Source organism: Homo sapiens, chromosome 3 (assembly GCF_000001405.40).
Source record: "Homo sapiens chromosome 3, GRCh38.p14 Primary Assembly".
NCBI lineage: Eukaryota > Metazoa > Chordata > Mammalia > Primates > Hominidae > Homo > Homo sapiens.
Window position 1 is genome coordinate 155239866 of NC_000003.12, and position 16034 is coordinate 155255899.

Here is a 16034-nt window from a genome sequence, read left to right on the forward strand (position 1 = left end):
GGGAAGAGGAGGCAAAGTATGCATTCCCCCCAATCAAGTAATGTGGGGGTTAGCTGTGGGCGAGTGCATGCCAGCAAAATGCATGGGGGAGGCTGTGGTATGGGGGAGATGGGTGGGCTAGCACAGGTCAGCAGGGCCTGTTCTGCTGGAGATCTCCAATGGTCAGGCATGGTCTGCCAGTGCAGGAGCTATGATGCAGTTCCCTCAGAGGCACCCTGGCTGGGCATCCAAGGCTGCAGTACAAGCAGGTGCACCCAGGCTGGGGCCCCGGAAGAGGCCAGCAGACAGGGGTGCACTTAGGTCAGATTGGCCCCATTCCATGGGCATGATCATCCTGCTATATTCTGATCCAACAGTTCATGTAAGGCTAAAGTATCCTAGGGAAGCAAGGCAACCCTTGAGGGATAGGTGCTTCTGGCCATGATCTGCTGTAGACATTGCTTCACAAAACCCTCTGAGCTCCATACCGGCTGGAATTCTGCTCCTACTACCTCTCTAAGCAGCTCTCCCTGCCAACTCAAGTGTCCATGAGGGATGTGGGGTCTCCTGCTGCCAGATTTCCAGAGGTCCATGGTGAGAGCAGGTTGCTCCTTGCCTGCTCAACTCACCCTTTCCCCAGGAGTTATTGGGGGCCAGGAATGAGTCCCCATGTGTGGGAGCCCAGTCTAGTGTTCCCAGCCTCCTTGCCCTTCAGCCCAGCATCTGTGTTCTCCCTCCATTTATTTTCAATGCCTTCTCTGAAGATCTGTTTGGAATGCACCAGTCCTCTGGATTTCCTGGTCCCTTGGTGGCAGATGTTCTTTCCCACTGTGTCTAGTCAGCCATCTTGCCTCCCTCACATTTCCATGGTCAGAAGCTTAACCAGATCTTCTGATCAATGTCCCAAAGGCTGTAATCAACATCTGAGGTACGAAGGTCTTCTTCCAAGCTCACCTGGGCTGGGCTGTCTGCTCCCCATTTCAATGCTAGGTGCCACAGGCTCAGGGCCTCTTGGGCTCTGGGAGGAGACGCAGTGGAAGACAAGGCCATTATGAGGTCACACCAGAGTCGCCTAGCACTGTTGCCACCTCATGGTCTCCAGCATCCAAGGAGAGTGTGGGCAGCTGGAGCCAGGTCCTCCTCCTCCTCCTTCTCCTCTTCTTCCTCCTTCGTTTCTTCCTTTCCTCCTCCACCTGCCTATTGCAGAGCAGCAGAAAGCAAAGGAGCTAGAAAAGGGTGAAATCAATTCTTTTTCTGTAACCTTTTTGCTTTGCTTTTATTAAGTTCTTAAGGCTTTTGGTCTTGAGTCCTAGATAAGATGCAAATAATTCTGAAGGGATCATAACTTTTAATATTATCAGTGGATATTTAAGAAAAAAATAAAACCATAAGATAGACTGATAGATAGTAGAGAATAAAAAGAAGATTCAGGAGAGGCCATGGGGAGGCAAAGGAAGAGAAAGGAGTGGAGAGTGTGCATGAGTGTGTGTGAGTGTGTGTGTGTATGAGTGCATGTGAGAGAGAGAGGGTGGGGGAGGGAGGGAGAGAGAGAGTGAGAGAGGGAGAAAGAGTGGAAATTCTAGAAAGAAATTGCCTCTTCTTCTGTTCAACTACTTCACTGTTTTGTCAAAAGTTAGCACTGCCTCTAAGGTCTCCTGCAACTCACCCACCCACCCCTCTTACTCCATGGTATTCAACTTCTAAACTAAGAGGAAAGCCCGAGCTAGAGGTCCTATGCATCAATCAGGGAAGAGATATTGAGAAGAATAAACAGAGAAACTGTAAGTGCCTGAACACTACATAAGGACAATGAATAATTGCTTGGTTCTAAGACGGGCCTGGCCTGAACAGATCAGGCCACAGTTAGCCTGTTCCCAGGACACTTGGCGGTCATTAGTCCCAGAAAAGGAATCATTGCATTTGATCCTATGAGAAGCCAAGCATGCTTTCCTGATGAAACAGCATGCCAGCAGATTAGGATATTGCTCTGAGGCAAAAGGGAACATATGGAAACTATCCTGAGAAGGATATAAAGTAATAATTACCCGACAGATTGACCCAGACAACGTAATCATTGTGGGGCCAATGTAGAAAAAGAGCATTTTATTAATATAATTTTTCTTTTTCTTTAACACAGCTAGTCATTCTTTTCAAATTATGCTGCATGGGTCCAACAAAAAGCAGCAGAAGAAATATTTGCTTTTGATTAAATGCATTGTTGGTTTCCTTAGAAAACGAAATTATCTGCAAAACATAATACATTTTAGTTGATTTACAGAAATTACCTCAAAAATGAAGCTCAAGAGAATTTCACACCAGGAATCTCAACTTTTTAAAGAAGAAAGAATAGACAAGAGTTGAAAAATCTTCTCCATAGTATCGTATGTCTGGAAAAACTTAGCACTTTTAAGAAAAAATGGCATGAATAAAACAATGGTATTAGTACTCCTTTTTTGGAAAAACATATTCACATGTATGATTTGGAGAGAACATTTGCTTTTGTCAAATGTGTCAGAGCCCTTCATTGGGTGCACTGATACTACTCATCTCAGCCTTCATGGCAGAATGATTTCTAGTAGAATCATGCCTATGCCAACCAACATTAAGGAGTTATGTGAGTTCCCTTAACATTAGCATATTTCTCTCCCTTAGGAAAGGGTATAGATGAGAGTGAATGCTAAAAAGAAGGAACCATGACACATAAACCAGACCATATGCTTGGCTCTCACTTAGAATGAATCAGAATAGTTGGAGCAATAGCACAGGCATTTGCTAAGTACCCATGCCCACTGGTCTACCAAAAACTGGTTCTCTCCAAATCACAAATGTGTATATGTTTTTCAAAAAAAAAAAGAAGACTAATACCATTGTTTTATTCATGCCATTTTTCTTAAAAATGTTAAGTTTCACCAGACATACAATATTGTGAAGAATATTTTTCAACTCGTGTCTATCCTTTCTTCTTTAAAAAGTTGAGATTCCTGGTATAAAATTCTTCTGAACTTTATTTTTGAGGTAATTTCTGTAAATAAACTAAAATGTATTATGTTTTGCAGGTATTTTTTCTCTCAACTAAAACATCCATTTTAATCAATATTTGGCAAGAAAATATATACCTGTTTCATCTTCACTGGTTATTTCCATAAACTGGAAAGAAGGACTGTCTAAATGGTAGTTATGTCCCATGAGATGTTTAAGCAAAAGGGAAAATTATACAAAAAAGAATGCCATATTTTGTCTGCGCCACCAGAATGACAATAAAAATTTATCATGCTAGAAAGTAATGCCGTGGTATCCAAACAGCAGCTGCTGAGATGTTGGTCCATACTGAGGGACCACAGCCTTTGCCTCCATGAATTCAGATGCCATCTTGTCCTTGGACTCCAAACCAAATGACATTGTTTAGACTGTACCCTAGAACCAGATATCCCTAAGAAGGCAAATTATTTGGAGAGACCTACCAAGGATTCTTATCTACTTTGGTCAGTGTTACTCAGTTTGACATTGAGTATTGCAGGGCGCTAAACAGAATTTACTTCAAGATGACTAAGGGAGCTCAGGTATTTGAATTCAGAGGGAAGAGCCACTTTATGGTGGCATCCAAAAACAAAGTAGATTCCTTGATGTAGGCTCACGCAAAATCCAACAAAATAAAAACTGGGAAACACCAGTTAAAGTATATGAATGGCTTTGATCTAACTAGCAGAAGAAGTAAACTCAGTAAGCATTTGTTATTTTAAAATGCTGAGTCACAGGTTAAAGAATGGTTTAGATAAACTCATGGTTTGTGGATTCATAATATAACCTTAAGAAAAGATGGTGATACTTAGTATACATTTTGTGGTTGATGTCAACAAGGTTAGTAATATCCTTCTGTAAAACAGGACTTGTTTCTTAGAACTGCAAAAGGACTGAAAGGTCATATAGTTCAATCTCCTAATTTTAGAGAGAGAGAAAACAAAAAGGCCTTTAGAGGCTAAGACTTGAATAAGATCCCACAGCGAGCTAATGACTCAAACTAGGTGCCAGACCAAGACACCGATTCTCAGTACTAGTACTTTTCTCCAGACCAGTATTTCCCAAATTGTGTACCTCAAATTTCTTGGTTTGATTACACACACACACACAAACACACATACACACACACCCTTATCTATCTATATATTTATATATATGTATATCTCCTTTCTTAGTGATTCACAAAGCACATTATCATATTAAAAATTCTGAGTAATCTTTCAGTAAAGAAATCTGTTTAACTTTACTAAGCTCAACTTTTCCCAAACTTATTTGACCATGAAGCCCTTTTTGCCACTCAGTAATTAATTAACATCTCATGAAACTAAATCAGGAAATGTCTGCATCAAAACCTCATTTGTATTTGTAATTATTCTATTTGGTCCACTGGTTCATTTTTTTCAACCTGGTTAATGCAAGCTAGAAATATGAGCAGCAAATAAAAATAGATTCTTAAATAAAACCCCAACAGTTTCATTCATTCAACCAACTCATCACAGTAACAGTGAAATCCCAAGGTTACATGTACATAGACCAGCTGCATGGCACAGAGCCAACGGTGATCTCTATATTTTTGCACATTTGCAAATCAGTAAAGCATTGGCCCACTTTTTTCAAAGGCAGATGGCCATAAAATTAGATGTATACCAACTGATTTAAGAAAATTTTCTTTGACACTTACAGACTTTTTTTGTATAAAACAGAAAGTGAGTATCCCATACAACAGAATTATGTCTGTAGATTTTTGTTGAATCAAGAGTACACTTAGCTTTAGCGGTGAATCTTTATCTCTAAATAAAATGGAAGGAGATTCAAGCCAATATCTTATAGAGAGTTATAAAAGCTTCATTCTATTTTAAAACCTATTCATCAGTTTCCGTGGCATTGTCATTTCACCTTTGTGAAATGAGAATATTAGGCTGTCAAACTGGTATGGAAATTCTAAAATTCTTAAGTGTTTATATAATCTTCTGGCTTAAGAAAACAGATCTGGAAAGGCATCATTTGCGCTTGTCAAATGCGGCAGAGCCTTCTCATGCTACTCATCTCATTCCTCATGGCAGAATGATTTCTAGTAGAATCATGCATATGCCAACCAACATTGAGGAGTCATCTGATTTCCCTTGAGATTAGCATATATTTCTCTCTCTCCCTTTCTCTTTCTCTCTCTTTCTCTCTCTCTCTCACACATACACACACACACACACACACACACACACAGACACACACACACACATGCGCCTGGAAGGTACTTGACAGACTCTAATGATTAATTTTATGTGCCAACTTAACTAGATCAAGGGGTGCCCACATCGCTGGCAAAACATTATTTCTGGGTATGTCTGTGAGGTTGTTTCTGGAAGACTTTAGCATTTTAATAAGTAGACTGAATAAAGAAGATCCATCCTCTTTGGATGGATGTGTCAGGCATCATCTAATCCATTAAGAGTCTGAATATAACAGAAAGGTAGAGAAAGAGCTAATTTTCTCTCTACCCCGCCCCTCCCTTCCTTGAGCTGGGACATCCAACTTCTCTTGCCCTCAGACATCAGTGCCCCTGGTTCTTGGGCCTTTGGACTCCAAGATTTACACTGGTACCTCCTTTCTTGATTTTCAGGCCTTTCCCTAACCCTCCTGGTTCTCGGTCCTTCAGCCTTGAACTGGGAGGTAAACTATCAATTCCCCTGGCTCTCAGGCCTTCAGACTTGGAGTACATTACACCATTGGCTTTCCTCGTTCACCAGCTTGTAGATGGCATATCATGGGATTTCTCAGCCTCCATAATCTTGTGAGCAAACTTCCATAATGTGTGTGTGTGTGTGTGTGTGTGTGTGTGGTGTGTGTATGTACACATATCCTATTGATTCTGTTCTCTAGAGAACACTGACTGATACAGACTTTGGTACTGATGGTGGTTCTTAAAGAAACAGAATTTCTTTTCTGTTTTTCTGAATTGATTTTGGGGTTCCCAGGATTGGCTCTCTACACTAATTAGATTTTAAAATGCTAATGACTCTCTTTCCAGTAGTGAAAAAAAAAAGGCACTGACAGTCTATGGCATGATCTGGTTATAGAGATATGCAAAATATCTGCCTTGGATACTCCTATTCAACCACTCATAAGAAGTAAGGAACTGGGTACTCTGTTAACCTTCTCAGATGGAGGCACAAGACTTATTTTGTGATTGGCTGAATTACAACACAAGCTGAAGTCTCAGCTTCACAGAGTGTCTACTATTGTAGTGAGGATAGTCATTGGGAATAAATAGGATCCTGTAAGTTGAGATGGGGACATATGGAAAAACACTAATGAAGTTGGGAACATTGAGTCCTAAATTCGGGTAAATCTGCTTTGCCAGTGGAAGAGGTCTCTTCACCCCCAGAAAAAGCAGCCTCCCCACTGTCCCCCAGTTGTATCAACCTATCTGCCTCCATCTGAGGGGACTGAACCTGCATTGCCTGAGGAAATGATAATGGCCTCCTGTAAGGCAGTTCCCATTCAAGACAATATCAATTCTCCTCAGGGCCCACTCCTACCACCCCTTTTTGATTCTAGAGCTATAACTAGACTCAAGTCCCAGCAGACTCATGAGGAGGTATACTACACTCCAAAAGAACTACTTGTGTTTTCTACTTTATACAAGCAGAAATCCAGGGAACCCTTATGGGAATGGATATTAAGGGTTTGAGATAATGGTAGAAGGAGCATAAAATTGGATGAGGCTGAGTTCATTGATATAGACCCACCAAGCAGAGATTCTGCATTTACTGATACTGCTCAGAGACTAAGAAAGGGCTCTATCTGTCTGGTGGTTGGTTGCCTGAAACATGGTTCAAAAGACAGCCCACCTGCCTAATCTCCTCTGCTTTAATGTAGAGGAAGGGATTCAAAGGCTTAGAGAAATTGGAATGTCAGAGTGGATTTGTCATTTAAGACCTAGCTTTTACTAAATTTATTTTGAGAAATAAATGTGTGAGGGGATCCCTAGCATCCTTGGAGACATCCATGATGGTTCTTCTCTGTAGGCCAGACCCTAGAGTGTGAACTGCAGTCACTCAATTGGAAAACCTAAATGCAAAGGAAGTAATTGAATCCCGTGTCAGTACTCAACAGCCAGAGGCAAGGTGGCCATAGTTACCACAAAGGACAATGGCAACCAGAATAGTCTGATTCTCAGAGAACTATGAGGACAGCTAGTTAATAATGTGTTCCTAGAAGTGAAATAGATAGGAAGCCTACTAAATTCTTACTTGATCTGTATAAGCAGATAGTGAACAAAAGTCTAACTCATAAAGACAGAGAGTCTCAGCCCTTCAATTAACTCCCAGACTTGAGCTAGTTCGCAGACCTAGAACTCCTTGAATGAGGAGAGACCGGGTCCCTGCTAAGGAAGAACCCTGGTACACTACCAAAATTTCATACTGTTAATTTTTCTCTCAGCTTTCCCTAAAGGGACCCATGGCCTCTTAAAAAAGTAACTGTGCATTGAAGAAAAAGAAATAATCAGAACTTTGAATAACTGCTGGACAATGGTTCTGAACTAAAGTTGACCTTTGAATGATGTGGAGTCCGAGGTGCTGATCTCTGCACAATTGAAAATCAGCACAAAACTTTTGACTCCCCAAAAGCTTAACTACTAGTGGCCTACTGTTAACCAGAGGCCTTACCAAAACATAATCAATTAACAAATATTTTGTATGTGATATGTATCATATACTGTATTCTCACAATAAAGCTAGAAAATATGTTATTAAGAAAAATCAAAAGGAAGAGAAAATATATTTACTATTCATTTAAGTAGGAGTGGCTTATCATAAAGGCCTTCATCCTCATCATCTTCATGTCAAGTAGGCTGAGCAGGAGGAGGAAGAAGAGCAAGTTGGTATTGCTAACTTAGAGGCAGAGGCAGAAGAGGGAGAGGAGGTAGAAGGGGAGGCAGGAGAGGCTGTCATACTTGGTGTAACTTTGAGGAAATACATTGTAATTTCTGACATTTTTTGCTTTTTCAACTCTCTAAAAATGTTTCTATATGGCACCAAACCTTCTTTCACTATTTGTTTTAGGTTCAATGCCCATAAGATTCCATGTCATAAAAGAAATCAAAAGCAATCTTGAATAATCAGAATGCTTCTGCCAGATTGTCTCATATAAATTTGTTTGTTGGCATTGCTTCTTCTATGTCTTCTTCCTCATTGCCTGGCAGTGATCAAGTCATCTTTTGTTAATTTTTCTGGTGTGTCTATTCATGCTTGAATTTCTTCAAAATCTATATTTTGAAAGCCTTCTTTACCCATCATCTTTTTGCCTGATCCACAATCTCTTTCATGGTTTCCTTGATTGGCTCTGTTGTAAATCCTGTAAAGTCATGCACACCTTGACAGTTTTCTCCAGCAGGAATTTATTTCAGGCTTGATGGCTTTTGTGGCTTTTTCTATAAAAATGATTGCATCTTTAATGGAGTGATCCTTCCAGACTTTAATGATGTTCTCTTTGTCATAAGTTATCTTTCATAGTGTTGACAATTCTTCCATAGAGTAGCATGTGGGATGAACCTTAAAAGTCTTTATGACACTGTGACCTAGAGACTGACTTAGAGATGTTGTCTTTGGAGGCGAGTAGACCACTTTGACACCTTCATTGTTGAACTCATTGGATTGTGAGTGGCCAAGAGCATTGTCTAATATCAAAAGAACTTTCAGACTTCAAGGACAAATCATCAATGGAACCAATCCAGAAAAAGAGTTCTTGTTGTCTAGGTCTTCTTGTTGTACAACCAAAGGCTGACAGCTGGTGTTTACTTTTTCCCTTTAAGGCTTGAGGGTTAGTGGCTTTCTAGATAAGGTAGTCTTGATTATAAACTCCACTTCATTTACACAAAACAGTAGAGTTAGCCTATTCCTCCTTGCCTTAAATCCTGGTTCTTATCTTTCTTACTAATACATGTCCTTTGTGGCTTTTTTTTTTCTACAATAGGACTTTTGGTCTGCATTTAAAAGCTGTTCAGGCAGATATCCTTTTCTCTTCAGTGATTTTCGTAATGACTTCTGGGAACTTGTCTGCTGCCTCTTGGTTGGCAGAAGCTGCTTTTTCTGTTATCCTGACTTTTTTTAAAAACCAAACTGTTTCTAAAATTATCAAACCATCCTTTGCTGGCTTAATTTCTCCAGCTTTAGTTCCTTCACCTTTGCTTTAAATTGTCATGTAATGACTTTGCTTTTTCTGAAATCATATTAGAGTTCATAGATATGCCTTTCTTGTAGCAATCCTGCATCCACATAAAAACTACATTTTCAATACAAGATAAAAGGGTTTTTTTCTTTTTTTGAGATGGAGTTTTGCTCTTGTTGCGCAGGCTGGAGTGCAATGGCACGATCTTGGCTCATTGCAACCTCCACCTCCCGTGTTCAAGTGATTCTCCTGCCTCAGCCTCCTGAGTAGCTGGGATTACAGGCACGCACCACCAACCCCGGCTAATTTTGTATTTTTAGTAGAGATGGGGTTTCTCCATGTTGGTTAGACTTGTCTCAAACTGCCGACCTCAGGTTATCCATCCGCCTCGGCCTCCCAAAGTGCTGGCATTACAGGCATGAGCCACTGCACCCAGCCGAAAAATGTGCAAGGGTTTTATGCAAGCTGAAGTAGCTGCAGCAAGGGCTTTATGAATTCTTTCTCTTTTCTTCTCTCTCTCTCTCTTTACAATGGTTCTTACACTTGATTCATTTATCTTGAAATGATGAACAACCACAGCTGCAGAACTCAATCTATGGTACATATCAAGTAATTACATTTTTCTTGTAATGTTATGACTTTTTTCTGTATCCTAGTAGCACTTCCAGCATCACTACTGGCCCTTTTTTGAGTCCCATGGTGTTATTCAAGGTTTGCAGTATTGCGCTAAACACAATGAATAACAGGAGAAAACTGTGAGACATCATTTTTTACTGCAATATGCAATTTACTGGAGAGATGAACTGCTTATTTGGTGAGGATTAGTATTATATGGTGTTTTAACAAGATACAATACTTGAGCTTGCCACAATAGCAATAGGAGGTGGCTACAAAATTATTACAGTAGTACAGTGTATGCTACAGTTAATATTATGCAGTTATAATGTAATACTGCATCTTTATATTTATTTACATTTCTCTCAACTGCTAGTGGCACCAAGTACTGTGTATCTGTGCATAAGTTTAACTTTTTGTAATAGATCTGTATATATTTTATGGTAGTAAATGATAAAGTATACTAGCATCTACATATATTTTATGAATTCATGACATACTTACATTTTTCTTAATTTTTTTTCTTTTTGAGATGGAGTCTTGCTCTGTTGCCCAGGCTGGAGTGCAGTGGTACGATCTTGGCTCACTGCAGCCCAGCCTCCTGGTTTCAAGAGATTTTCCTGCCTCAGCCTCCTGAGTAGCTGGGATTACAGACACATGCCAGCATGCCCAGCTAATTTTTGTATTTTTAGCAGAGACGGGGTTTCACCACATTGACCAGGCTGGTCTCGAACTCCTGACCTCAAGTGACCCACCCACCTCAGCCTCCCGTAGTGCTGGGATTACAGTCTTCAGCCACCATGCTCAGGCTATTTATTAATTTTTTAAAAATATTTCCAGTCTATGTAGTTCATCTGCAAGTTTTTTTCAAATTGTTGCAAAAACATTTTTAATGCATTTGTTGAAAAAAATCCACATATAGGTGGATTTGTGTAGTTCAAATTCATATTATTCAAGGGTCAACTGTATATTGATTCTGGGAGACCCATAATGTCAGTCCAGTCAGAGCAGGTAGAGGCTTACAGAGGTCAGGTGATCAATGTAGTTTCAGCTTAAATCTGTCTCACAGTGGATTTGGTGGGTCCCAGAACCCATCCTGTGGTTATTTCTTCAAATCCAGACTGCATAATTGGAACAAACATACTTAGCCGCTGGTAGAGTCCCCAGATTGGTTTTCTTACCTATTATGGGGCGAAAGGCCAAAGAGAAGCCATTAGAACTGTTTCTACCTAGGAAAATGGTAAATCAAAAGAAATATGGTATTCTTGGGGGATTGCAAAGATTAGTGCCACCATTAAAGACTTGAAAGATGCAGGGCTGGTGATTCCCACCACATCCTCCTATAATCCCTCCATTTGACCTGTACAGAAGACAGTTGACAGATCTTGGAGAATTATTGTCAGCTTAACTACGTGATGATTCCAATTGCAGCTAGTATGCCAGATGTAGTTTCATTGCTAGACCAAAATAACACATCCCCCTTGGTATCTGGTATGCAGCTATTGACATGACAAGTGACTTTTTCTCTATACTTGTCCATAAAGCTCATCAGAAGTAGTTTGGTTTCAGCTGGCAAGTCAGTAACCCACCTTCTCTTTTCTACCTTGGGAGATTGGGGGTATATCAACTCTCCAGCCCTATGTCATAATATAGTTTGCAGGGATCTTGATTGTCTTTCCTTTCCACAACATATCACTCTGGTCCACTATATTGATGACATTCTGCTGATTGGACCTAGTGCGTGGGAGGCAGCAACTACTCTAGACTTATTGGTAAGGCATTTGCATTGTCAGAGGATAGGAAATAAACCTGACTAAAATTCAGCAGCCTTTACCTCTGTTAAATTTCTAGGGATTGAGTGGTATGAGGCATGTCAAGATATCTCTTCTAAGATGGATAAATTGTTGTACCCAGCCTCATCTACAATAAAAAAAGAGGCACGATGCTTAGTGGGCCTGCTAGGACTTTGGAAGCAACATATTTCCCATTTTAGTGTGTTACTCTAGTGTACTTCCCAACTGACCTACAAAGCTGCTAGTTTCTAGTGGGGTCTTGAACAAAAAGAAGGTTCTGAAAGGTCCAGGCTGCTGTGCAAGCAGCTCTGCCTCTTGGGCCATATGCATCCTTATCTTTAAGCACCATTGTTGCTTAAAGTGTCAGTGGTAGATTAGGATGCTGTTTGGAGCCTTTAGCAGGCCTCCATAGGTAAACTGCAGATCAGGCCTTCAGGTTTTTGGAACAAGGCCCTCCCATCATCTGCAGATAACTACTCTCCTTTTGAGTAATAGCTCTTTTCCTGTTACTGGGTCTTAATAGAAACTGAATGGTTAACCATGGGCCACCATGAGTCCAAGGAACCCAAACTACCTTTGATGAACTGGGTGTTAGATGACCCACTAAGTCATAAAGTTAGGTATGCACAGCAAAACTGCATTATCAAATGGAAGTGGTGTATATGTGATTGGGCCCAAGTAGGCCCTGAAGGCACAAGTTAAGTTACATGAGGAAGTGGTCCAAATATTCATGGTCCCCACTCCTGCTACACTGCCTGCACCTGTGTCCTGTACCTATGGCCTCATGGGGATTTCCCTACAATAAGTTAACAGAGGAAGAGAAAACTTGGGCCTAGTTTATAGATTTCTCTGCATAATACACCGGTGCTATCTGAAAGTGGACAACTTCAGCATTACAGCCCCTTTCTGGGACATCCCTGAAAGACGGTGGAGAAGAAAAATGCCCCCCACCCCTGTGGGCAGAACTTCTGGCAGTGCATCTGGTTGTGTACTTCGCTTGGAAGGAGAAACAGCCAGATGTGTGATTATATATTGATTATATACCGATTCATGGGCTGCAACCACTGGTCGGGCTGGATGAAACTTGGAAGGAACATAATTGGAAAGCTGGTGATAACAAAATTGGAGGAAGAGGTATGTGAATAGACTTCTCTGAATGGGCAAAGAAAATGTAAAGATATTTGTGACTCGTGTGAATGCTCACTAAAGGGTAACCCCAGCAGGATAGGATTTTAACAATCAAGATAGGATGACTCATTCTGTGGATACCAGCCAGCTTCTTTCCTCAGCCACTCCTGTCATCACCCAATGGGCTCATGAAGAAAGTGGCCATGTTGGTTGCGATGGAAGCTATGCATGGGCTCAGCCACACAGACTTCCACTGACCAAGGTGGATCTGGTTACAGCCACCATTGAGTGCTCAATCTGCCAGCAGCTGAGACTCTGATATGGTACAATTTCCCAGCGTGATCAGCCAGATACCTGGTGGCAGGCTGATTACATTGAACTGCTTATATACTGTGGAAAGGACAGCATTGTGTCCTTATTAAAATAAACACTCTGGATACAGATTTTTCCTTCCCTGCATGCAATGCTTCTGTGAACACTACCATCCCTGGACTTACAGAATAACTTATCATCATGGTATTCTTCATATCATTGCTTTTGACCAAAGAACTCACTTCAAAGCCAAAGAAGGGCAGCAATAGCACTTGTGCTCATAGGATTCACTGATCTTGCTGGAGTAGCTGGCTTGGTAGAACAGTGGAATGGCCTTTTGAAGACTCCATGCCAGCTAGGTGGCAATACCTTGTAGGGCTAGGGGAAGGTTCTCCAAAAGTCTGGGTATGCTCTGAATCAGTCTCCAATATATGGTGCTGTTTCTCCAATAGCTAAGATACATGAGTCCAGGAATCAAAGGATGGAAAAGGAAATGACACCGCTTACTATTACCCCTAATGGTCCACTAGCAAAACGTTTGCTTCCTGTCCCATGACTTTATCCTCTGCTGGCCTAGAGGTCTTAGTTCTAGAGAGAGGAATGCTTCTACCAGGAGACACAACAATTCTATTGAACTAAAACTTAAGACTGCCACGCAGCAACTTTGGGCTTCTCATGCCTCTGAGTCAACAGGCCAAGAAGGGAGTTACAGTGCTGCCTGGGGTGATTACTCTGGGATACCAAGGAAAAATTGACTACCACTGCACAATGGAGGTAAAGAAGAGTATGTCTGGAATACAGGTAATACCTTAGGGCATCTCTTAATATTACCCCACCCTGTGATTAAGGTCAATGAAAAATACAGCAACCCAATCCAGGGGGAACCCTTCAAGAACAAAAGTTTGGATCACCCCAACAGATAAAGGACCATAGCCAGATAAGGTTCTTGCTGAAGGCAAAGAATATACAGAATGAGTAGAAGAAGGAAGTTATAAATACTAGCTGTGACCACAGGACAAGTTGAAGAAATAAGGATTATAATCGTCATAATTATTTTCCTCTTATTTTGTTATGAATGCATTTCTGTATATATGTGTATATCTATATATACATATTTAAGCAAATATCTTTGCTTTATTTCTTCTCTTATTCCCTAATTATGTAACATAAGATGTATTCACTTTATATCAGCATTTAAATATTGCAAATTTTACATCATATTACTTAAATTACAGGATATCAAGAGAAGAGTAAACATCATTCAAAGACTTTACTACCTCTTCTGGGGAAGGGATTAATGAATTTTTAGCTATACATAGGATAGTTGTATTTGTTAGGTAGAATTATAACCTCATCGTTGTGTTTATTTTGAGATCAAATATGGTTTAAGGAGATGCTTAAGGATACCAAGTCGACAAGGGATGGACTTGTGATGTTTAATTTTATGTGTCAACTTGACTGGGCTAATGGATGTCCATATAGCTAGTAGAATATGATTTCTAGGTATATCCATGAGGGTGTCTCCAGAAGACATTAGCATTTAATTCAGTGGACCGAATAAAGAAGATTCACCCTCATCAGTGTGGGTAGGCATCTTCCAATCATTGTGGGCCTAGATAAAATAAAAAGGTGGAGCAAAGGTGAATTGTCTTTTTCTCTGAGCTAGGACATACATCTTCCTCCTACTTTCAGATATCAGAGTTCCTGATTCTCAGACCTTCTTCCACCCACACTCTCAGTTCTCAGGCCTTTGACCTCAGACTGGGAGTTACGTCACCAGCTACACTAGAGTCAGGTCTTTGAACTCAGACAGAATTACGCTACTGACTTCCCTGGTTCTCCAGCCTGAAAATGGCATGTCATGAGATTTCACAGCCACCACAATCTCATGAGCCAAATCCCATAATAAATCTCCTCATATGTATCTATATATATCCTATTTGTTTTTTCCCTAACTAATATACAGCCCCTTGGGCTTAAAATGTATTAGGACATTTTAATGAACTAGTGTGTTAAAATCTACTAGTAAATTAGTACCTTTAGTAATTTTAGGAGCCTTAAATGCCAGCCTAGGCAAGATTCTGCCCAAGCTTCCTCTGTTAGCAATCTGTATTCATTTTAATTCCCCATAGTTCATTCCTCTTGAGAGAACTGCTAAGTTAAATAGAAAAGTACCTAAACTCGTGTGATTATTGAAGTCTAATACTGCCAAATTGCACCCCATGGGATAATTTAAGAGGAAATTACATTTTTATCTCCAATCAATGGACCAATGTTATGGCTTATTTTATAACAACAATTCTTTTGCCTTTGCTTATCTTTTGAGTCGATATTTTTAGACTGAGGTGGAAAAGACTGTTTGCTGTAATCTTACCCTTAATATTGCTTTTTTTATGTTTCCATACATATAATTTGTGCTGTGAGAATTAGAGGATAATAAGTTTATTAGTAGGCAGTAATTTTCTCTACAGTTTCATAAGAAATGTTTTGAGTTTCAAAGGATTTATAGAATTTACAGCAATTGTCTTTGAGGAGTGAATTCCCTCTGTCTGCTTCATAGAATAGCTGAGATCAACCTTGATTGCCTTTTAAGTCGAGTAAATTGGAGGACAGGCTGCCCAGTATCTTAGTTCTTCTAAGACTGCTTGCAAACCAGAAAGTGTGAACAGTGTGATGACGAATGCTCTTAAGACCAGGTAAAAGTGAAGTTCTTCAAACTAATTTATTCTTTTGGAACTAATAAATTAGAATATTTCTCAATAGAGGCGTTGAGTTTAACCATGTCTAAATAATGAATACAAGTTTGGTAATATTTTTACTGTTTTCTGCTATAAAAGACAGTTATAAAAGTACTAATTTCTATTGCAACTGTGAGAGGTATATTATTTGATTCAATAGTTTTGAGATGATGTCCCTACATTTTTAAATACCTGATATTCTTCCTACTTGTATTCAGTATCTATTTCAAAATTACATCTCCATTTTAAAGCATAATCTTTCCAAGTCAGAGCTATTCTGTTT

The 16034-nt window shown here is 40.1% G+C and overlaps 1 long non-coding RNA gene across 1 annotated transcript; it reads left to right on the forward strand.

The window, feature by feature from the left end:
• The first annotated feature begins 1079 nt into the window (after positions 1 to 1079).
• LINC01487 (long intergenic non-protein coding RNA 1487) lies at positions 1080 to 3259 on the forward strand. Its single transcript, NR_125399.1, has 3 exons — positions 1080 to 1113; positions 1613 to 1760; positions 3036 to 3259. It is a non-coding gene; the product is annotated as a long intergenic non-protein coding RNA 1487 (long non-coding RNA).
• The last annotated feature ends 12775 nt before the right edge of the window (positions 3260 to 16034 follow it).